At 43.8% G+C, this 24,955-nt stretch overlaps 1 protein-coding gene and 1 long non-coding RNA gene across 19 annotated transcripts in view; one reads left to right on the top strand and one right to left on the bottom strand.

Moving 5' to 3' along the window:
* The window catches only part of KIRREL3 (kirre like nephrin family adhesion molecule 3), a 580,037-nt gene that overhangs the window by 319,698 nt on the left and 235,384 nt on the right, over positions 1–24,955 (top strand). The gene's annotated exons all lie outside the window — the stretch shown is intronic.
* KIRREL3-AS4 (KIRREL3 antisense RNA 4) overlaps positions 1,593–24,955 on the bottom strand; it is a 29,327-nt gene continuing 5,964 nt past the window's right edge. Inside the window, exon 2 of one of the 2 annotated variants that reach the window (NR_120533.1) lies at positions 1,593–1,914. This is a non-coding gene — a long non-coding RNA (KIRREL3 antisense RNA 4). The remainder of the gene's footprint in view (positions 1,915–24,955) is intronic. The other variant, NR_120532.1, reaches the window with a different exon arrangement.

The raw sequence follows: 24,955 nt of genomic DNA, 5'->3' as shown, positions 1-24,955 counted from the left end.
TTCTATCCTTCAGAGCCATGTTCCTGAGGTCTCTGTGATCCTTACGATTCTGCCGTCAATGCCCTGGCCAATCATGAGCATTGGTTGAACACTTAGTATTGTCAGGCAATGTGCTGAGCATCACGTGCCAAATCTCCTCCAAGATGGGTGCCCTTACTCTTCCCATTTTGCAGATAAGAAAGAAATGGTTAAAGAAGTCTAGTGACTTTCCTAAAGTCATGCAGAGACCCTCGGTGAAAGCAGTGGATGCCCAGACCCATTTCTCAGAGTTGGATGGGACAGTGTTTCCCTTTGTGGACCACGGCCCTCTGGGGAGCTGTCCAGAGACCCCACGGTCGATCCCACTTACTTGCAAACCATCAGACTATCCACACGTTCTAATATTTCACAACCCCAACTCTACTTTCCAGATTTGGTTCATGCCCTTGGAAGTAGCTCCCAGAACTCCCAAAACTATTCTTGTTCTTCTTAAATCCTAAAAATCAATCTCTCCCTGCTGTATTTTCTTAATATTTCCAATACCCCTAAAGAGTAACAAAGTAACCCGGTGCTGTGGCTCACGCTTGTAATTGCAACACTTTGGAAGGCTGAGGCGGTAAGATCACTGGAGTTCAGGGGGTCAAAACCAGCCTAGGCAACATGGTGAGACCTCATCTCTAATAAAAATCAAAAAAGTTACCCAGGCATAGTAGTGCATGCCTGAAGTCCTAGCTACTTGGGAGGCTGAGGTGCGAGGATTGCTTGAGCCCAGGAGGTCATAGTAATTTAATGGCATCTTAGGGTGAATTACTTTACCAGATTTTCTATCCTCATAGAACAGGGATCCCCAGCCCCGGGGTACCGGTCCTCAGCCTGTTAGGAACCAGACTACACAGCAGGAGGTGAGCGGCAGGTGAGTGAACATTGCCGCCCGAACTCTGCCTCCTGTCAGATCAGCAGAGGCGTTAGATTCTCCTAGGAGCACCAGCCCTGTTGTGAACTGCGCATGTGATGGATCTAGGCTGTGTGCTGTGTCTCTTATGAGAATCTAACTAGTGCCTGAAGATCTATGATGGAACAGTTTCATCCAGAAACCACCCCCTACCCAGGTCCATGGAAAAATTGCCATCCATGAAACCTGTCCCTGGTGCCAAAAATGCTGGGGACCACTGTCTTTAAAAAATTGACAAAAAAGCTCCGCACTCAGAGGTCATCACTCATTTGAGGTGAAAAAAAGCCTGGTAAAGGAGTGGCAGGAAAAAACAAATATTGATTGCACACCTACTCAGTATCACCAGATTCATCTCACTTCATCCTCCCAGCAACACTGGGAGGAGGATATTATCATCCTCATTTTGCAGATGAGGAAACTGTGCTTCAGAGAGGTTAAGTTACATGCTCAGTGTCACCCACTCTAACCTAGAAGGAAGAGAGGGCGACTATGCATAGCAGAATGCATAGGAGGGAACACATTTAAGAAGTGTTTCAGCAATTGATTTTGAGTCTTGCAGAGCCCACAGACCTAGTACACAGAATCTGTGCACACACTCCACAGCAGCTCTGTGATGCCCACTCTTCCTTCACCCAGGTCCTAAATATGACCTTTTCGGTGGTCACAGGAGGGAGGAATATTTTATTGCTTTGCATCAAATAAAATACAACATAGAACTTTAAATCTGGAAATGAATATAAAGATGTAGTCCAGTCTTGACATCTGGTCTCCTGATTCCCAAACTCATCTGTTCTTTCTTCCTTCTGAATTGTGTGTAAAATCTGTTGCTGAAAAATTCTGAAAAATCTTTCTGTTGCATGATTTCATCTTCCTAAACGTACATTTGATTTGTTTGCAAAGTACTTCTTGTCCTTCCGGACCTGGGATTCTGAAACGCAGATTCCTCAGGAATACTGATCCAATATTTTCAGCCTCATAGAACCCTGAAACAGAAGAGAATGGGAGTGGAGTTAACACTAAGAGAAATTCAATTAAACAAATGTTTATTGATCACCTACTATACACGAGGCACCAGGCCAACTCCAGTGACAACAATTTGCAAATCTCAAGCACTGATCTCCAGTGTGTGCTTGATCTGGTGTGTGTGTGTGTGTGTCTGTATATACATTCCCAGGAGCACACACATGGACAAGTTACTACAGCCCCCGCTCCCAAGTCCTCCACTTTTCCTATGATGCACTGAAATGGATAAATCCCCATAAACTGCCTCCCTCCATAAACTGCCTCCCTCATGAGCAACCTTGGAAATAAGTCCTATTTACATATATTTCATCAGCCCACCTACCTCAAGCTTCGTGCTCCCCTGATGACTGTAGGCAATAACATAAATAAAACTCAGAATGATTTCTGTCTCCTGCACATCAATCATCACTTTTCCTGGACAGGTAGGCAAGTGATTGGATGTAAGGCTAACCTGGAGGTATGAAGGGAAGGTCTACAAATTCTGGACACAAAAACACATGGCTTCTGGTCTTAGACCCTAGGCAGCCTATCTAGGGAAAGAGTAAGCTGTATCCAGGCGAGTGACAAGGGGGACCTTTGGGAAGTTCCTGGCATTATTTCTCACATTTTGCCACCTGGGAGAGAGCTACAAGTCCCTTTAGTCATTGCTGCAGGAAAACATTTTGACATGAACTCTCATACATCATGACGGAGGTTAGTTACCAAAATGCACACATTTGCCTTAGCCGGTTTCATTTACTACCCTTTAAATTATTTCTCAGCCTTGCAAATCTTGCTGTGACAGACAGAGCAGTGGGGGAAACCACTAAGTGTTCATTTTTCATATAATATATTCAATCCTGTTAGGTCGTGCTGCTGAAGGTAATATTTCTGGCATTCATTTAATGAAATTGACATTGATGAATGGTTAATTATACAAATTACATTCTTATTAAATCCCCTAGAATCAGTGCCTTAAAATTTCCTAGCTATGGGCTTCTTATGGTTGATATCTTTTTTTTTTTTTTGCTCTAAGTATCTCCTCTGTTGGCTGCTTTAAGACTCATTCTGCATATTTTTCTTCCTCTAAAAAACTTTGAAAAGCATTAAAAATCCCCTAGTTAAGGCAATTACTCCAGATAAGTTAATCTTCATGGGATGTTTAAACCCCAGTCCTTGCATATGTTTATTCTGACTTTTTTTCCCTCTCTAGATAGCTCCTGCCCTAAAGGGCATAAGAGGGAGGGGAAGACCCTACTACCTCCTGCTGAATAATGGTCTGATGGACTGGGAGGGGAGAGAGAATCAGCATGTGGCCAAGTCCCTCTGTTGGCTGCTGGCTATGTGTATATATATATATATATATCTCCAGTAGAAGAGTTGATGAGCATTGGGCTAATGGGTATGGATCAGTACGCGGTCCCTTGCATGCTAAGTACCATTAGCTGGCACGTTTCCAAGAAAGCAGCCTATTTTTTGCCTTTTCACTGAGGCTAGGAGGATGAATCATATTCATTAAGAGATCTTTTGTTTTTTCTGTTGCCCTCACTGGTCATGAAAGCAACCGATCTTTACTGAGCATCTGTTATATGGCCAGCACTGACTAGGCACCTCCAGGAATTAGAATAGTCTCAAGTAGTTCACATGTGTTTTGAGAAATTCATCTCAGAGAACAATTGCACACTTGGAATGTTTTCTTTAATGAGGAGAAGCAACAGAAGTGTTTCTGGGAGAACCAGACCCAGGTTTCAAAGCCATCTTAACCTTGCTCTGAGTCTTCAAATGCCACGGAAGGAGAGGCTTCCTGCTTTGTACTCAAAAGCTATGAGATGGGCTGCACACAGGCTCGGACTGGTGGTCTTTTAACTCAAATTCTCTCTCTGGGACCTTTTCCCTTCATACACATTTCACTTTTTGGCCATCCAATTGGCTGGGGCAAGTTAGGTTAGCTAAACTAATTTCAACCCCGGCTATTTGGAGTGGGTTGAGGCAGGTAAAAAATATGCAATTTTCAATCACCAATAAGACTGAATTTCACCTTATTTTAGTGGGTCATGTGGAAAAACTTCGTGATTTATACTGAGTACTATTATGCCAACCAGACTTTAAGTAACACTCATTCCCAGAGTTCAGTGTTGAGATGAACTGTCTACAAAGTCACAATATTATGATTAATAGTAATAACTCTCTAGTCAGAAAGACTTGGATTCAAATCTTAGCTCTGCTCTTTCCTGGAATAGGTGTGTGACCTTATACACTTAAAACTCGTGTCCTCCTTTATAAAACAGAGGTCATAGTAGCTCCCTTAAAGGGAACATGTTTTGAAGCTTCAAAATGAACACAAAGCACTTAGCAAAGGACACGCATATGCTGCTCAATAAATGGAGCCATTTAGATTATGTAGGTATGTTTCTCAGCTGCAAGGAACATAATGCCCTTCTAACTGTGGCTTCAACCACAAGGCTATATATTGTTTGCTTAACAAAAGGTCCAGAAGTAGATGACCCCAGGGTTGGGCTGTCAGCTGGGTGATGTAATCATGAACCTAGGCTCTCCCTGGTGATTCTCCACCATCCATGGCATGTTACGTTTTCATCCTCATGCTCACAAGATGGCAGCCCAAACTCAGTCATCACATCCACATTCAGGAAGAAGGGGCAGAGGGCAGCACCAGCAAGTTCTCATAATGTGACTTGCCATTTTGTCAAAAAGCAAAGCATCTCTCCCAGAAACCCCTCAGCAGAGTTCTCCTTACATCTCATTGGTCAGAACTTGGCCAAATGCTCAGCTCTTCAGGAGCAGGTGGGCAGGGGAGCAGGAAGTTGGGAGCGGCTTTTGAGTAGCTACATCATTGTAATCGAATTCAACCTCAAACATTCTCATCCAAGCAAATGAGTTAAAGTCCAGCCATCTTTCCTTTTGCTGATTAAAGGCCGTATGGCCACCTCCACTGATATCCTCTCTCTGTGCAGGCTTCACCACTCCCCTGCCAGAAGCCACGGCAATGGGTGAGACTGGGCAGTGGACATAGGGTCCTTTTCTCCTCGAGTGTAATTAATTCTGTAAGATCACTCCCTTACCAGCAAGGGATCTGACTCCTCTATCATGACCCAGGAAGAACATTCCTTCTCCACTTCTTTTTTTTTTTTTTTTTTTTTTTTTTTGAGACAGAGTCTTGCTCTATCGCCCAGGCTGGTGTGCAGTGGCACAATCTCGGCTCACTGTAAGCTCCGTCTCCCAGGTTCACGCCATTCTCCTGCCTCAGCCTTCTGAGTAGCTGGGACTACAGGCGCCTGCCACCATGCCTGGCTAATTTTTTGTATTTTTAGTAGAGACAGGGTTTCACCATGTTAGCCAGGGTGGTCTCAATCTCCTGACCTCGTGATCTGCCCGCCTCGGCCTCCCAAAGTGGTGAGATTACAGGCGTGAGCCACCACGCCTGACCCCTTCACTTCTTATCTCGGCCTTCAACTCCACACACCCATCTGTGCTGGAGTCAGCATGTGCAATCACATATTACTAGTTTTAATTGTATAGCAAGGGAGAAGATGGGAGATATTAATCAGGTGCTGTAAGCTCAGAGAGTGAATGTAATAAATAGACTATTAAGGTAACCAAGTTTTCAGCTTCACTAGTGAAAGCTGCCATCTATCTTGTGTGGTTTCCTGCATGCTTCATTACCGCGTATAACCATACTGAAAAAATATGCCTTATCCTTTATAATGAGATGATAAGTTCCCTGCAGTGGGTGTAACAGGGCCTGATTCTGAAGCTCCATGAAGCTGGAGCCTGGGGACGGGGTGTGTCTCTGGGTCCCAGGGCCTGACACTGAGGCTGATGACAAGACAGGGCTTGGTGGTGACAACAGCCATAATCATCTGGTTGGGAACATTCCCAGGGCACCAGGTATCTGAGGGCTCAGGCCACTGCCACTTCCTCTGCCTCGTGGAGATGCAGTAAAAGGGGGAGGCTCACTCCAACCAGTGGACAAATGTGCAGTTGTTCCTGGAATTAGCTCTGTCCTGCTTTGGTCCAGGGGGCTCCCCTGGACTCATTCTGGGAGGACCCACTCGTGCGAGCTGCTGGTGGATTTTCTGTCTTCACACCCCCATCCCAGCCCTGCTTCAGCACCTAGCACAGCGACAGCTCAGCGAATGCAGCCAGACAGAGCTGGGTGCCCCTCCCTGTTCAGCGTGCTTCCACTGACTGTCCCTGGGGCCTCTGACAAGTCATTTCACCTCCGAACCTCAGCACTCTCAACTAAAATGGGGTTGATAAGGCTGGCTTTCCAAAGAGGTGGTGAGAATTAGAGGAGATAATAGATAGCAAAGCACCCAGACTATGCCAACATCCTTTCTCCAGAATGGAGATTCGGTTATCAGATGGGAACGTGCAATCCTAAAAAGTTACAGTCTATGGTTCCACTTATACGAAATGTCCAGAATAGGGGAATCTATAGCCTCTCCTCATTAATCCATTAGCCAGAAAGTAAATTAGTAGTCGCCTAAAACCCAGGTGATGGGGAGGGAGAGGCTGAGGCTAAGGGGATAGCTAAAATGTACAGGGTTTCTTTGGGGTGATTTTAAAAGGTTCTAAATGGACTGTGGTGGTGGTTGTGCAAATCTGCGAATATATTAAAAATCACTGAATTGTATTCTTTAAGTGGGCCATATGTGAACTGTATCTCAATACAGCTGTTAAAAAAAAAAAATCTTTGAGAGGCCAAGGCGGGAGGATCACTTGAGCCCAGGAGTTCAAGATCAGCCCTGGCAACACAGCAAGACCCTGTCTCTACAAAAAATTTTTTAAAAATTAGCGTGGTGTGGTGGTGCATGCCTGTAGTCCCAGCTACTCGGGAGGTTTAGGCAGGACGACCGCTTGAGCCTGGGAGATCGAGGCTGCGGTGACCTGTGGTTGAGCCACTGTATACCAGTCCAGATGGCAGAGGGAGACTCTGTCTCAAAAGGAAAAAAAAAAAATCAGCTCTAAAGAAAAATAAAAAGTTGCAGTAGTAAAAACAACACCACATGTTGCCATGGGAAGCCCTGGGTCGCATATGGGGCCCAGATGCATCTTTGGCTTAGGGAGGCCAAGGCAGTTACCTCAAGTCCAGGCAAGGAGAGTCCAGGACCACGTCTGAGTTTCCTGAACTTGAGAACTCAAAGACCCCTCAGAATACGTATTCACAGACTGCTATGGGAGGTTCTTTAAAGGACTCGCAGCATCTCCCCCCAACTCAAACAAAACAAAACAATACAACATCTGCAGGTGCAAATTTGAGAAACACTGGTCAAAGAACAGCCTCAGTGTGGCCAACTGCAGAGCCAGCCCAGTGGCCCTGGGGGACTAGAGAGGCCCCAGGGTAGGAGAGAATTCTAGCCTGAACTGAGATAGGACAGATGGGACAGACTTCACTCCAGGCTATGAAAGCATCTTCTCAGTCTCTGCCCTCCAGAAGCTTCTCTGCCTCGGCCTGGCCCTGAGTGTTTCCCTCCTGATGGTTCTGTGCTTTCTTTCCTAGCTGATTTCATCTTTGCCCGTGATAGTTACTAGCACCTTGATGCTGATGACACCCCTGCTTGTAATCTCTAATGAAGTCTCTCTTCAGAGCTCTAGACCTACATGGCCAAACAATGAAACACCTGAATGTCCCCAAACCATCTGAAATTCAGTATGTCCCAAACTGGACCTGGCATCCTCTTCCTTTCTCAAACTTCTCCCTCCTACTGGATTTCTTATTCTTGGTGTTAACATCATCATCCATCCAGCTTCTCAAACCAAAAGCATGGAGTCATCAACACCTCCCTCTCCTTCTATCTTTCAGTCAACACGTTCATTCAATTCTGCCTATTAAACAGCTTCCTCTTCTCTGCTTGGATTACTGCTGTGGCCTCCTAAGTGGCCTCCAAGCTTCCAGTCTCTCCTCATTAATCCATTACCCATACAGCTGCTGAAGTGATCATTTCCCTGCTTCAAATGACTTCCCTTTACCTACAGAATAAAGTTCAAATTCCTATGCTTGGCTTACAAAACCTTTCATGAGCTGACCCTGTTAGTTCCTTTTTACTCCCTACTTCCACCATGGTTGGCTCCCAGTCATCCAGGAAGCAGGCTCTTTGTTCTTGGGAGTGGCAACGACAGTAGGCATTGGGATGGCCCCACATTACATGCTGGTGATTGACCTCTTGGTCTCCACCACCCCCAGATCCCCAGCTAGAGAAAAATTATCTAATACTGCTGCCTGCAGGTTTCAATCCTATCATAACAAACTTCACTCCCTACTACCTAACTCCATCTCTCAGCTCCACGTGAAAGCAGAGGTAAGCCAATGCTAAATGTTGTTCATTGTAATCTCAGTCCAAAGTTGTGGGCTTTTAAAATATAGAATTGAGCCATAATTAATTACATGCCTGGTGCATAATCACAGAGGAAAGCAAGAAAGACCCAGCCCATTAGGTCAAACATGCTGAGTGCTATGGAATGTAGAAAACCATTTCTAAAGACATAAATAGTAGCTGGAAACATAGAAGGTCAGATCATTGCCTCTGTTGGGCTTGATTATATGAGACTAGCATGTAAAGGCTCCAATGCCAGGATGGTATGTTTAAGAGATAAATGAAACCAGCAGGAATGGGTGGTGCTGACATCATTCTCCCCAGCATCGAAGAGGCCCTAAGAGTGGGGCCTGGCAGGCAACAAGCTCCAAGGTGAATGCCTTCCACAAACACTGAACTGGGATGTGGCCCAGTAGAGCCAAGAGCCCCTTCTTCCTCTTGACGTGAGGCAAATCCCATCAGGTGCTTATTGGTTAACACGAGGTGCACCACATCAGCTGGCTCCCCACTATTCAGGTAAAAATAAAACTCACTACGCCATCTCCTCCAGCCATCCAAATGGCAGACACCAGTAATGTGTTTTTATGGCTGGCCCAGGCTGAGGGACTGGTGGGAGTGTGCAGGGTAAGCACATCAGATTCTTAGAATCCATTGACTGTGACCAGCAATTAAGTACAATTTAAAATTCTTAGCTCCTAAGAAAAGATGACAACTCAAAGCCCCTGCCATCCTTCTCCACTAACTCCTCCAAATGCCCTTGCCATGAAATTTGGAAGAGAAATGAAAAGAATCTCCTTTTGTAGGTCCCCAAGCAGTGCAAGGGCTGTTGGTGAATGTCAGTATTGGGGATGATTTCTTGCTTGGAATTAGGAAAGGAGATGGGCACTGGGCCACAGTGTCAGGATTCTGAGAGTAGCTGGGCAGGCTGTTGTTGGATGCTCTATCTGACTGGGGACTGAGCAACAGTATTCTTCATCCTGCTTATCATCTTTACTGGCTCAAGCCCTTTGTTTATGCTACCTCTTTGTCTGGATGTCTTAGTATGAAATCAGGACTTATGAGAACAAGGTCTGGCACATAGCAGGTGCTCAGTAAGTGCTTGCAAAAGCTATGAAAACCTGGATGGAGATCACCTAGTATGCCTTCAAAATCCCATCTCCTTGTGACATAAATTGGAGATGAATCTCACAGAGAAGCAGAAGATACAGTCTTTGAAGTCTCTTCCAAGCAACAGAATTCCCAAAACATTCATGAGAAAAGAAGAATTGCCCTTGCCTTCTTTCTGTAACATTCCAGCAGAGCCAAATGGTTTCCAACGGAGATTCTAGGAGCATTGAAGATGAGAGCTTGAAAGGGTCCTGGCCATCCTCTGGCTCTCATGCAAATGTCCGGTGAAGACACCATGGCCCAGAGGCAGTTAAGGGGTTACCCATATTACACAGTTAACAGCAGAGCTATGACCAGAAGTAGCTTCATTTTCAGAGAAGTGTTCACATAGATGGGCCCTCCTGGCCTGTACTGAGCTCCGTACAGAGGGAGAACCCTCCACCCTTCCAGTAGTTTAACTCACGCAAAAACCCAAATGTGGAGGGAGGAACATCCATCCCGGTGTTTAGAGCTTCTTTCATTGCTTCTATGAGCAGGGCAAGGATTAATACATTTCTCAGTGGAGGAAGATCTTACAGACCCAACCTAGACTTTTTCCTGAATTAGGAGACTATTCCCCACACTCCTCCCTGTCCTGCTCCAGGACATCCCATGGAAGGCACACGTGTGATGAGTGAGGCCCTGAGCCCTCATTTATTTTTCATTCCCCAGTCCCTGTGCCAGCCCTGACTGTGGTGGTGAGTGAAAACACAGATGAATTTTGGAAACATGGTAAGAAGCAATTATGAATTCCTTGCCTTTAGGAGCTTCCTCCTTCCCCTTGGGTCCTGAAAATCAGCATAAATTCCTTGGTTAGGAGAAGCTATCAAAATACTATCCATCTGGATCCAATTTCCAGAGCTGCTGGGCTCCAAAGTGACCAGAGTTAAAGGTCTATCCATAAATTTTCCTCTTGGTGCCACCTGCCTGAGCCCAAACTCTGCCTGCAAGCCACCTGTCCTGACCAGATAACAGACGGGACTGGTTCAGATTCTGAACAAGCAGCACAATTATCTCACTGACCCACCAACCTCTCCGCTCTTTCGAGCCAAGTGTGGCCTCATTTCTTTGAACTTGGTTTATCTGATCATCTGCATTCCTGCGTCTTTGCAGGTGTAGCTGTCTGCATTCGCGGAATACAACCAATTTGCCCAACACCCAGCTCTGCTTTTCATTTGGTTATCCTAGCCCTCAACTGTATTCCTGCTTCCTGGCTCCAGCTCTACACTGGGGGACCATTTCTGTCTTTAATATTTTCCCCAGAGACGGAGGAGGGCCAGGAGATGAGGAAACTCAAGCCTATTTGTTATGCTACTTTCTATAATTTGATGAAGGGCAGATTACTGAAAACCGGCTTAAGAAATTTTGAAACTTAAGGTTAACGCAAAGCAATTGAAACACTAATGCAAATACGAGTGAGGGAATTGGTTGGTTAATTAACTAGATTGTTAGTTTAGGTCCTTAACAAGTAAGGGAGGAACTCACTGGACATAGAAGAAAAGAGACACTGTAACACGTACCTGACTAGATAGCAAATTCCCTATGTACTCTCAGAGCTGTTGGTATTATTCTTTGTATCCTCCCAGCTCCATGCTGGGAACCAAGGACAAAGATCCAATATGTATATTTTTATTATACCCTACCACCATTACAGTATTGTACAGAATATTTTCACGGCCTTAAAAACATCCCCTGTGCTTCATCTATTCAACCCTCTCCTCTGCCCACGCCCCTGGCAACTACTGCTCTTTTTCTATAGTTTTGCCTTTTCAAGTGTCATATAAATGGAATCATTCAATATGTTTTTTCAGACTGGCTTCTTTCACTTAGCAATATGTATCTAAGATACATCCATGTTGTCGCCTGATAGCTCATTTCTTTTTATTGCCGAATAGTATCCCACTATATGGATTTATAACAACTTTATTTGTAGTAAAGTGATGTCAGCACCACCCTGTCCTGCTGGTTTCATGTATCTCTTAAACATACCCTCCCAACTTTAGGGTCTTTATATACACACTAGTCTCATATAATCAAGTCCAACTGAGCCAATAATCTGAACTTTTATGTTTCCAGCTACTGTTCAAGTCTTTAGAAATAGATTTTTGCTGTTCCACAACACTCAGCATGTTTGACCTAATGGGCTGGGCCTTTCTTGTTTTACTCTGTGATTATGCATGGGGCATGCTATTAATTATAGCTTAATTGTGTATTTAAAAAACCCAAGTTTATTAACCCATTCACCTACTGGAGAACATCTTTGTTGCTTCCAGTTTTGATGATTGCAAGTAAAGGTACTATAAACCTTCTCGTGGAGGTTTTTGTGTGCACGTAAGTTTTCAAATCAGCTGGGTAAATATCTAGGACTGCAGTTACTTGATCATGTGGTAAAACTATGTTTAGCATGGTAAGAAACTCTCAAAACTATTTTCCAAAGTGGCTGTACCACTTTGCATTCCCAGCAGCAATGAATGAGAGCTCCTGTTGCTCCATATCCTTGCCAGTATTGTCAGCTTTTCTGGATTTTAGCCATGCTAAGAGGTGTGTAGAGGTATGTTGTAATTTTAATTTGCATTTCCCTAATGACAGATGCTATAGATCATCTTTTGATATGTTTCTTTGCCATCTGTGTATCTTCTTTGGTGAAGTGTCTGTTCAGATCTCTTGCCCATTTTTTAAGTTGGACCATTTGCTTTCTTACTGTTGAGTTTTCAGGATTCTTGGTATATTTTAGATGCAAGTGTTTTATCTGATATGTGATTTACAAATATTTTCTCCTGGTCAATGACTTGTCTTTTTCACATGTTAAGAATGTCTTCAGCAGAGCAAAAGTTTTTAATTTTAATAAAGCCAAAATTTTCAATTTTTTGTTTTATGGATCATGCATTTGGTGTAATATCTAAAAACTCATCACCAACCAGGCATGGTGGCTCATGCCCGTAATCTCAGCTACTCAGGAGGCTGAGGCAGGGGGATTTTTTGAGCTCAGGAGTTCAAGAGTGGTGTGGGCAGTGCAGCAAGACCTCGACTCAAAAAAAAAAAAAAAAGGAGAAAAACTCATCACCAATCTAAGGCCATAGATTTTCTCCAGTGTTTTCTTCTGGAAGTTTTATTGTTTCATGTTTTATATCTAGGTGTATAATTCATTTTAAGCAATTTTTTATGAAGGATGTAAGATCTGTGTCTAGTCTCTGTTTCTAATATAGATGGCCAATTGTTCCTCCACCATTTGTTGAAAACACTGTCCCTTTATTTGTGTGGGTCTATTTCTGGGCTCTCTATCCTGTTCCACTGATCTATTTGTGTATTCCTTCACCAGTATTATACTGTCTTGATTACTGTGGCTTTATATTATAGTAAGTCTTGAAATCAGGTAGTATGAGTCCTCCAACTTATTTCTTATTTAGTATTGTGGTGACTGTTCTAGGTCCTTCGCCATTCTATACAAAATTTACATTAAGTTTGTTGTATCTACAAAATCACTTCCTGAGATTATTTTTGGTATGGAGGAAAGCAGTTAATTTTTTCTTCGTTAAAGACACAAATTTGTATTTATCTTTCTTCATTCCATTCAGTAAAAGCTAAAATGTAGCCCCCAAGGGTGGGGCAAGGTAGGCAGCTTACCACGATTCCAACTTTCTATTGAAAAAATTAACTTCTGTTTATTCACCTTGTATCCTACAATCTTGCTATATTGACTTACTAGGTGTTTTCTTACAGATTCTTTGGGTTTTTTATGTAGATAATTATGTTACCCGAGAATAAAGACAGTTTTATTTCTTCCTTCCAAGTCTCCACACTTTTTATTTCTTTTACTTATCTTATTGCACTAAGCTAGGACTTCCAGTACAGTGGTCAATAGGGGTGGTGAGAACAGATATTCTCACCTTGTTCCAATCTTAGGACAAAAGCATTCAGTCTCTTACCATTAAGTATGATGTTAACTCTAGGTTTTTCTTATACTCTTTATATTAAGTTAGTGAAATTCTCTTCAATTCCTAGTTATTTGATAGTTTTTATTATGAACAGCCATTCGATTTGGTCAAATGCTGATTTTTTAAAATCATTATGCCTGCTATGTGGGGCATAGATTTTAGGTGGCAAGGAGAGAAGCAGGGAGACCAGTTGGGAAGACTAATACAGAAGCTCAGGCAAGAGTTGATGGAGGCTTGGACTGGAACAGTGGCAGTGCAGAGAAGTGAACAGATTCTGGATGTATCTTGAAACAAGAGCCAACAGGACATGCTGGTGTGTGGAATGTGCTGGGAGAAGGAATGGGAAGAGTCAGGGGAGACTGAGGCATGAGCTTGAGCAACGGGGTGGATGGTGCTGCAATGCACTGACATGCTGAAGACTGGGAGAGAGACAGATGTGCAGGGTGGGGGCTACAAGTCTGTTTTGTACATGTTACAGTTTTCGGTAATTATTAGACCTCCAAAAAAAGATTTAGGAAGACAGTTGACTCTACAAATCTTTAGCCCAAGGGATAGGTCAAGACTGGATTTATAATTTAAAAAATCATCTGTATCTCAATGGTATTTAAAGCCTTGGAGTTTCATGCAAAACCTTGAGAGAAAAATGTAAATGGAGAAGAGAGAAAAGCCCACGAGGAAGTGCAGGAGTCCTCCAACATTTACTGGCTGACTGGGTAATCTGACTCGTGGGAGGGCTTGAATGAGTCAACCACGGAGTTAGCAAATGTTCCATGTGTGCTACTGAGATCTGTACCCATGCACTGGAAAAGATGTATTAGTCCGAACCAGAAGTTAAAAATCTAACCGCCCATGATTAAGCCCTTAAATACATAGATATTACAAGCATTAACTAAAGACATGGAAACATTGGGGATTATGTTAGTGGGTTAAAAATACATGGGATTAAATAGGGAAAAGTTTTCTAGAGGACATGATCCAACACCTGAGAACTAAAGGAGAGGTAAGTGTCTCAGGGAAGGAGGAAGATCTTGCACGTGTTTGAAATACGCTGAAGGAAAACTTCACTCAGTGCCAGGATCCCAGATCTAGAGACCCCTTTTATTTTCATCTGTTCAATGGGTCTAACAACTCCCAACACTAGTCACTAAAGGGAATTCTTGCCATAACAAACAAGATGAAGACCCATACCCCAGAGAAGCAAAAAACCAAAGCAAAAACAAAACAAAGAGCAGACAAGTTGGGAGCCAGAAATCCTTTGATTAGCTCCATACTTGCAAAGCTTTTACCAAGAATTGTCAAAAAGGGATGAAAATTGGGATGGAAAGCCCTAACAGGTGAATAAAACTTCAGGAGTCACTGGAAACATGCATTCCCTCATCCTGGACACTCTTACTGTCAGTACCCAGCACCCCAACATAGGCAGGAAAGGAACGGCTCAAATTTTCTTAACCCTGCAATGACCAAACGCCTATAGGAATAGATTCTTAGCAGCACACTCAGAGCCAGGGGTTTAAAATGGAGCCAAACATTATTAAAAGCCCAGGTGAGCCACCTAGGAGAATTGAACTTTTTTGAAAGAAAGAAAGAGAAAAAAGAAAGAAAGAAAGAAAGAAAGAAAGAAAGAAAGAAAGAAAGAAAGAAAGAAAGAAAGAAAAACAGAAACTTCCCAACAGCTCTTTATAGATTTGAGACAGCAAATGGCATGCTATCTGAGAAAACCGAGAAGGGGGGCCTCTCTGTCATCCTAGAGAAGTGGGAAGAAACTAACGAGGAAGAACAGGAAGAAAGGCCATCATTCCGGGTGCAGTTGACAGGGCTCCTCTTCCCCAGGGGCAGCTCCCTAAGCTTAGACAGCCGGTTGGACTGTGGGGAAAGGGAAGCTGTCTGGGGAGAGGAAAAGCCACCTCTCTTCTATAGCCAGGGTGTTTTATTCTGAATGGTTATATTCCCCCAAATTCATAAGCTAAAATTCTCACCTCCAAGGCTACGGTATTAGGAGGTGAGGCCTTTGGGAGGTGATTAGGTCATGAAAACGGAGTTCATGAATGGGATTAGTGCCTTTATGAAAGATGTCCAAGAAAGGCCTCTTGTCCCTTCCACGATGTAAGGACACAGAGAGAAGGCACTGCCTATGAAGAAGCCAGCCCTCACCAGTCACCAAATCTGCCATCACCTTGATCTTGATCTTTCAGCCTCTAGATCTGTAAGAAATAAATTTCTGTTGTTTATAAACCACCCAGTTTATGGTGTTTTGTTATAGCCGAAACTGACTAAGACACAGGGGCTCAGCTATCAACCCCTTATGAGGGGCTGAAATTGTTCAGACACAGAAGATTCCCAGCTGTGAATCACTAAACAGTGTGACCAAACAGCCTTGCCCCTTGCCCCAGAGAAAGAAGCTACAGGATTTTTCTCCAAGATGCAAGAGCTCCAGGATTTTAACTGCTTTGTCCCAAGATCAGAAAACACCAGTCTCCTCAGATCGGCCAGATCTGTGGCCTTTTGTGCAGCTTTCAGAGGGTCATCCCACTCCTGCCCAAAGTGAAGACATTTCCCTAGATGTCACTGGCCTTTTTTGTTCTTAAATTAGTGCCTCTACACACACACTTCTCAAAAATGGAAGCTGTAAATATCCCAATTGAGGCCCCAAGAAGGGTCTCAGAATCCAGGTAGGGTGACCATTCAACTAAGCCGACATGAGTTGAGAGTGTGTCTGGGAAAAGATCGTAGAATAAATTGATTGCTGAGTCCATCACAGCAAAGTAGAAGTTATTATAGCCATGGTGCCCCAGAGAAAACAGAAAAGACAGCCCTTCTCTCCCTATTCTCCCCCGATCTTCCCTTCACCTCGCATTGGGAGTCAAAAGTTCATCCTTAAAAACCCACTATTTTCTAGGCAATTGCCTTCTGCAAAACTCCATTAAACTCATAGACTACACCTATGTGCAAACAGCCCGGCTCATTCTAAATCCACATTATTGTTGCTCCAGCAGCCATTTCTAGGCAAGCAGTTTTGATCAGAAATGTTTGTCAAGCAACTCAATATCCAACTGTGTGTGTACAGTACTTCTGAAAGATATTTGCAACTGGAAATTGTGTAGAGTTCAAGGGAATGGAAATGGACTTTTGCTGCGATTGAATTCATTAGTGGCACATTCTCTGATTGTCTTCTTTTTTTATTTCCTGTAACTCTTGACTTTCAAAGTTATTTACTGAGATGCTTTGTCCTCCATCATGGAGTAGTCTGGAGCTTTTTTCCTTTGTTTTTTAGCTTAAAGTGATATCTCTCCCTGAAATAAATTGTACAAAATGATGTAGAGTTCTTGGCAAATTAAAGTGCCTTGTTCAAAAAGACCCCTAGTCACTCAAGCCTTTCCTTGGCTCCACATCAGGGATCTGAATCTTGTAGGACTAGGAAATGCTGACCCTGAGACTGTTGGCTAAGCCCTCTCATTCCCCAGGGACCTTTCATCAAACCTGTATCCATCCCAGACCCAAAATGAATATACCTGTACCAGCAATGGTGATTGATCAACAGAGAAACTCAGTGACTGGCTCCTCAAAAGCATGGTCTTTTATTCTTCTGGTGAAAGACCTCCTAGTCAATACAAATAAAAATGGGAAAAGCAAAAACCTCACCAGAGAGAAAAAGAGAGCTCTGTTTAACCCTAAGTGTTCATATCATGCAGTAAAAAAATAAGCCAAGTTGGTAAACAGACTCGACAAGCAGGCAGCACAAATCATTGATATTGTTTTCCTTGTGCCATGTAAGTGAGAAAAAATGTTTCTTCATTGTTTCTACATGAAGGAAATGGGTTATTGTTCAATAAACTTGGCTGTAACTTTCTTATCATTAGATTTGTCCCTTCTTGGTAAACCCTTAGAAGGCTCAGCAATCCTCTAAGAGCTCTAATGGTAGTTGGCCCTCTATTTTTCAGGAAATGGTTAGACAGTTGGTGGATTACCCCCACTTTTTCTTTCTCCCCTTTCCCTGGTGCTTAAGTACTTCCATGCTCACTCTTATCCCTGCAGAAAGAGGAACGGGTGCCTGGACAGGAGGTAAAACCCAAGGCTGTCCATTATAGATACAGGGAGGAGGATAACAAGAAAACCTGAAATAACTTGCCACATGACAATTGCATTCCAAGAATCCACACTCTTCCTGCGGAACCAAGATCCTGCTGCACTTATTTATTAATGCTTAATGGTTCCTCAACTTCTATGATACAGACAATGCAGTAGGCAAGTGGTTCTGAACCATGGATGCAAATCAGAATCTCCGAGGAGCGCCTTCAAAATAAAAAGGTCCAGATCATAGTTCCAGGCTTTCTGATTCATTAATAGCAACAACGCTTTAGACTGACACAGTATAAGTATAAACTACTCTAAGTTTGTATATATTTTTACCTCATGTCATCCTCACAATGGCACAAGGTGATGGGTCTATTATGATTCCAGTTTTACAAATGAAAAATGAATGCACATAGAGATTAAGAAACCTTCCTGAGGTCACACAGCTAAGTGTTGCAGGCAGACCTCAGGTCCACATAGCATGTTTCCAAAGTCTGTGCTCTTCACCACTGGGGCTGAAGCATGTGCCTCAGTCCATTTGGGCTGCAGTAACAAACGATCTTAGACTGAACAACAGAAATGTATTTCTCACCATTCTGGAGGTGGAGAAGTCCAAGATCAAGGTGCTGGCAGATCTGATGTCTGGTCCAGACCCGCCTCCTGGTTCATGGATGGCACCTTCTTTCTCTGTCCTCACATGGTGGAAGAGGGCAGCTCTCTGGGGCCTCTTTCACAAGGTCACTAATTTCATTCATGAGGGCTCCACCCTCATGCCCTAATCACCTCCCAAAGGCCCCACCTCCTAATAGCATCACCTCGGGGGTGAGGATTTCAACACATGAATTTTGGAGAAACACAAACATTCAGACCATGACAGCATGTTCTCATTAAAATGCCTCCTGAAACACACACCTGGCAAAGAGCCACTGTACTCAATCTTATTTTAAATATTCTTATAGTAGAATTTTTCCCCTCAGAGCTGGCAGTCTCAGTGACAAAACACACGTGTGGCACAAACAGAATGTGTCAACTGCATCATCCTGCAGACACCATTCCCAGACTATTAGCTGTGTTTGGGTTTTCTTTTTAATGGGCTCTGTTTTTCCACACATGGACTGTTTCATCAGTAACAGTGTTGAGCCTCACCTCAGGCAGGTGGAAGGAAATCTACAACAATTTTTAAAAAATTTATAAGGAACTACCATGTAATCTGCTGTGCACTTAGCATAGAGGATACAAGCTGGATAAAGTAGAGTGTCTGCTCATTGTGAGAAGCAAAAGAACGCACTCCAAAATAATCATCATGTTATGAATAATGTGTCGAAGGCTGCAGAGTAAGAGCACAGTTCATTCTGCCTGGAGGGGACAGGTTTCACTCTGGACACTGTAGAATGAGCTCCAGCTACCTGTGGTTGAGGCAGGGAATGCCCCCCTGTCTAAGGGCACAAGAGGTTCATAGATGAGGAAGTAGTGCCATGAGGCTGCAGCCAGGGTTAGAAAGGAAAGTGTCTCTATGAGATGTCATTGAAACAGCCTCCCAGGACCCTGAAACAAGGACATCAGCTTCCTAGATGTCCCACAGCCCAGAGAGCAACAGTGGCCATCTCCAAGAGAGAACTGGCTTTGGCATGCAGGAAGGGCACATCGGAGCTGGTAACAATGGTGATCCTCTGGGCAGCTCTGCTGTAGAAATGATCCTCAAGAGGTGAGGCCGAACTTCTTCATCCCTTTCAGTATCCCCAGTTCCAACAGAAGATCTATGCCTTCCCTGCACCTGAGATTGCTCTAGCCCAGTATGACAGAGCTGTTTCATTTAGAGTAGGCAGGTGGGAGGAAGGAGGTGCTTCTCAACACTGGAAAGTCCATGTCCGTGTGGTCTCACTAGACTTCACTCTCTGCCTCTGCGTGCCTGCTCTCTTACTCTTGCCCTGCCTGTCACATAGGACAAGGATAGGTTCTGTGTGAGCCTCTTTGTACTTTGCCTGCTCTACATAATTGGTGCTGGGTTGATGATCATAATGATGGTAAAAAAAAAAAAAATGCTAATGGCCCCAGCAAAAGCCTGAAACCTCACTCTGATCCTCAGAATGGTAATAGAGGATAGGAGGTGCATTATGGATATTCCCATTCAACTTGCTCTAAACAGCTCCAGTATTAATGGAAATTTTAATGAAAAGCTAAGCCTCTATTAGGTTGCCATGCAGAATTCCCACAACATGCAGAGTCTGGTTAATTTCCCTTGTGCCAGGGGCACAGGCTCAAAAGCACAGACACACACACTCTCAGGAAAATTCCTTCCAATCTCCAGACCTTGTGCTTTCCCCTGCTAGCCCAACTCTAGGGCTTTACAGGACTGGGGTGGCTCTCCTATGCTTATAGTCAGAGCAGGCCCTGTGGCAATTCAGTGAAAACTAATTCCTCATTCCCCATCTTTCTTGCTCAACAATCATGAATTGCCAGAGAGCTCCAAAGGGAGCCTCCAAGTCTCTCACTCTCCTTTTGTCCCTCAGATGAAATCTGTAACTGGCTCCAGGATGCAATGGGTTCAGAGGCTACAAATCTAAGGGCCTAGGAGTTGTGCCTCCCCATTGCTGGACTCCCCTGACATGTCATGTGCCACTTCCCTGGGAACCTGCCATCCCCAGCTATTAGTACATTTTCCAGGAAAGCACAGAAGCATACGCTTCCATGAGATGTTTTAATTATGACAAGTGGATCCCTCTCCCTGTGTAGTAGAAACCAGCACCACCTTAGAGAAAACCAGGAATTGCAGGAGATAAACTATCAAAAGCTTTGTCTTGTTAAAGCCAGACATTGTAATCCCAGCACGTTGGGAGGCCGAGGCAGGCGGATCACGAGGTCAGGACATCGAGACCATCCTGGCTAACATGGTGAAACCCCGTCTCTACTAAAAATACAAAAAATTAGCCGGGTGTGGTGGCATGCACCTGTAGTCCCAGCTACTCAGGAGGCTGAGGCAGGAGAATCACTTGACCCCGGGAGGCAGAGTTTGCGGTGAAAGAAGATCGAGCCACTGCACTCCAGCCTGGGTGACAGAGCGAGACTCCATCTCAAAAAAAAAAAAAAAAAAAAAGCCAGACATGATATCAAAACCTCCCCCACATCCCTCTCCTGCCTCTCACACTCCACACTCCCCATGCTCATCAGTCCCACGTGTGGAGATGCCCTGCACTCTTCTTGCTGGTTCTTCCCTTGCCAAGATCGGGCAGTATCACTGACATCTGCTCTTCCATAGTATTTCTGCCAGAAGGGACAGTGAACAGGGAGTATGGATTCCTGGCTCCAGTTCTGAGTAGAAATACATGAGTAAGAATCAGAGAGATGGAGCAAAAAAAAAAAAAAAAAAAAAGAAAGGACTTTGGAAAAAGTAAAATCCTACACTCTAGAAAGTTAATGTTGAGAACCCATTTGAAGTTGGGGTGACCCACTGGGTCTCTTCTTCTTTTTCTGCCTCCATGTGACTTTCTTGTCACATCATACAATGTGCTTTGCTATCTCCAACTGCTAGGATTTGAATGTTTTGGACTCCTCCAAAATTCATGTTGAAACCTAATCGCCTCCAAAATTCAGGTGTTGCCAACGTGACAGTATTGAGAGGTGGGGCCTCCAAGAGGTGATCAGGCTATGAGACTTCCTTCCTCATTAATGGGATTAATGCCCTTATGCAAGAGGCTTTATGCAGTGTTTGGCTAACTTGTTCTAGCTTGCCTTCCACCTTCTGCATATAAGGATGCAGCAAGAAGGCCCTCACCAGACCAGATGCCAGCCTCTAGATCTTGCACTTCCCGGCCTCTAGAACTGTAAGAAATAAATTTCTGTTTTTTATAAATTACCCACTCTCAGGTACTCTGTGACAGCAGCACGAAGGGACTAAGACACTAACATTACCAGTGCATGGCTTTCATAAGCCTCTAGTGCTCTCCAAGGGGCCTGGCCCCGTTTTCTGGTTTCTTTGATGGTCAATGGGCAGACTCCCCAAAGTCATTTACAATTGTTATGGTAATGGGCTCTTAGTCATAGCAATGCATTTTTCCTTTTATGGGTCCCTAATGCTGCCATTCAGCAGTTGCCCGAAGCCTCTGTGACTAGCGATAGAAACACCAGTGTGCCCTGGGTGACACACTTTTCATGAGGTAGACTGAGCACATTTCAGACCCTGGTTGAATAAAAACTACTAGGGGAAAATCAATCTTATTCCCTTCCTCTCAATGGGCGTTTTGGCTCTCTCCTTTTTTCTCCCTTCCCTTCTTTCCTCTTTACCCAAACCCCAACTCCCACAGTCTTTTATTTCCTGTCATCCTGTAAAGAAGAAGAATGCTGTTTCGAAGGCTGGGTTTGATCTTCAACTTTGTGAACTGAGCCAGAGCCTCCTGTTTTCCCTCATACCACTAAAGAGGCTTTAGCTCGGGCTGTCTCAACCCTGCTTGCAAGTAAAATCTCCTAGGTGATTTTTAAAATTATTCATACAGAGGACCCATCCCTGACCAATTAAATCAGAATCTCTGGGGATGGAGCCTGGGTATCCATAGTTTTCTAGCTCCCTCAGGTGATTCTAACATGCAGCCAATGATGAGCACCACTGTGTCTAGTGCCATATCTGAAGCTATAGACAGCTGTCCTCAGAAATCCATCCTGGAAATCTTCACAGTTTATGTCCTCTGCTTTTGATTAGAGGTGGGCCCAGGGAGTTGACTGGGCACAGATGAAATCAGCAGACCCTCTAGCTATTAGCAACACATAGAAACGATTCCATGAGCACAGATTAATCCTAGACATAGGCTTTCTGACCTTCTTGAGTAATGTGCCTCCTCCTTCAATTATCCTTCAGCCCAGGTGATTCATCTCTCGTCGTTATTTGGGACAGAACACAGAATTGTAAAAGTTGTAGGGGACTTCTCTCATTCTTCTTGCAAAATGCAGCTGGTGAGATTGTCTGACAATAGTATCTGTTCTCTTTGTGATAAACAACACACAACCAAACAATACTTACAGAAACTCACATGAGGCATGACCCTCTGCTAGTTGCTATTTTTTCTGAGACACAGTGTCTGTGCCATCTGGGAGCTTATGTCATAAGAAAAATGACACCATCCAAAACATGGTTACCCAGAAGGCAGTTACAACATTGTGCTTTCTATTTTCCTTTTTTCTTAGTATGTTTTGGTTTTAAGATCTATTTGGGGTATTTCACCAAGATGTTATATGACAGAAGACACTGGCCAAGACACATAAACATCAGTGGTTTCTTTAGAGACTAGGTTTCTGTAAAGACTTACTCTTTCCAAGCCTTTCATCTGGCCTCAGATGATCTCCCCATTGGCCTCTATCTCATCCTCACTCTGCAAAAGTCAAAGCAAAACACAGTTGTTTGCCAAGCCTCTATCCCCTATAGCTGCCAGGATGGTGTTAATATACAGCCCAGGGAAAACCATATTGCATCTTTTATTGGTCTTGGAATGGCTTCATCCTTTACTAACCAAGCCTCATCTTTCTCAGAGTCAGTGCATGTTCTAGCTGTGGGACAGTTTTATGGTTTACTGACTTGGCAATCAATGTGACATGCTGAACAAGATTGCTTCTCTGGCCTGAGAATGGTCAGGTCGTCCTCAAAAGTTTGCTCCTCCAATGTGGGCATTCAACCTGACATTTCCAGCCATTTACTTGGCTCTCTCAGGGAGCCTGTATTATACAGGCAATGGGTTCCCTTCCTGGAAATGGTCCAAGACACACAGTCAGTTCTCAATTAGCCATGCTAATGGAAGCAAGCAGCAGTGCAGACGATCCAAAATAGCAGATTATCTGAAAATCATTTTTACCGGCTTTGGAACAAATGCAATGATGCAATGCACGTCAGTGTGAACATGTGCCTACGTCTCAGCAGTATCATGTTTTCCATGGATTGTCTGTGTCTTATGTGCATTACAGTTTGCATTCTCTGAGGTATCATCATTTGGAAGTGAAAGTAAGCATCCCAACTGCACCACAAGTGACAGAGAAGCCAGAAAATAGAGTAAAAGTGATCCCCAGGGTATTTACAGAGGCAATGGAGAAGGGCATGGAGCTCTATTTCAGTAGTCCTGTGGCCTCACAGTTCTCTTCCCCCAAAGGGCCTCCTTTGCCCTTCACATACCCTGGCATCGGCTGGTGCCCACTGTCTGCCCCAGATCCTAGCAGGGCTATTGGAGGTCTCCAAGCCACTCCACAAGCTGCGCAATTGTCCCTGCTTAGTAGCAACCCCAAATTTTTATCATGCTTTTCAAGACCAGAATGCCACCTAGAGGGTGGAGCTTGCCAGATGCTCTTATACAATAAGCACCAGGCCACCTCCAGCCTTCTTTAGATGTTTTCTGCAAGTTTTCGAGTTGCCTTTAAAGGCAACACTTAGTAGTATGCTTCTCAAACTTTATTGAACATAAGAATCACCCACGAGCTTGATTTAATTGCAAATTCCTGGGCTGTGCTCATAGAAATTCCAGTTCAGTTGTCTGGGGCATGTTCCTTGCATTTGCATTGTTATCAAGCACATCAGCCCGTGGAAGGCATCCTTTGAGAAGCTGTTTAGAGAGCCATTCTGACTCTGCTTCTGATCTGACTTCGGGCAGCATCTTGAGTGAAGGTGAATGTTCGCCTTTTCATGACCTTTAATCCTCCACAAACCACTCTTTTTTGTCCAAGACCTATGTGTGATGGGCCAGCAGAGACCAAAGGATGTTGGCACACAGGGTGAGACAGTCTTTATCAGGTGGTCTGGACAAAGTAACTAGACACTTGGACCAGTGTGCCTTCCTCCCAGCCTGACTCTATTCAGAAATTCATGGGCAACCCACAAGTCGCAGGCTTCTTAGATGATATAACTAATAATAACTAATAGTATAACTCCTATTTTTTGAGTGCTTACTCAGTGGCATTATGATAAGTGTTCAATATGAATTTTCTCATTGAATTCTCTTAATCCTATGAGGTGTCACTCTCATTTTGGGAGGACCCATGGAGAAGCTATCTCAGCCTTTGTAGATCTAGTTTTAAAATAAGAGAAAAAATAAATAAACTCACCATGTCTGAGATTCTTGAAGAAAAGACAGCATGTAAAGCAGCTAATTATTATTAACGTTCATGACTATATCCTTGCAGGCAAGAGGGAAAATGTATCATTTTCTGTAGTTTTCTAAGAAGTGGTTTAGACTAGAGCAATTAGCTAACCAATTGGCCAGTCTAAATGGTTTCCTATAATTTCTCTTGATGGATGCCCACTGGCCTCGTCTCCTTGTGAGATAGAAGGGTTAGGTCCATCCAACAGCTGTGACCAACTGCCTAAAATGGGGTTGTCACTTTGGACAACTTCCCATGCTCCAAAGATCAGGGTGGACAAAGTAACAAGTCCGATTGTTTATGTGGTCATTGACTTTCTAAAATAAGCAGTAAGATTCATGGTTACATAAAGGACTCTACTTTCAGTAGATTAACCAAACGTCAGTCTTGCAGAATCAAGCAGGGTCTGGCGGAGGAGCAGGAAG

This window comes from Homo sapiens, chromosome 11 (genome assembly GCF_000001405.40).
Source record: "Homo sapiens chromosome 11, GRCh38.p14 Primary Assembly".
NCBI lineage: Eukaryota > Metazoa > Chordata > Mammalia > Primates > Hominidae > Homo > Homo sapiens.
The sequence above is the reverse complement of the archived record's forward strand: the minus strand, read 5'-3'. Positions and strand labels throughout refer to the sequence as shown.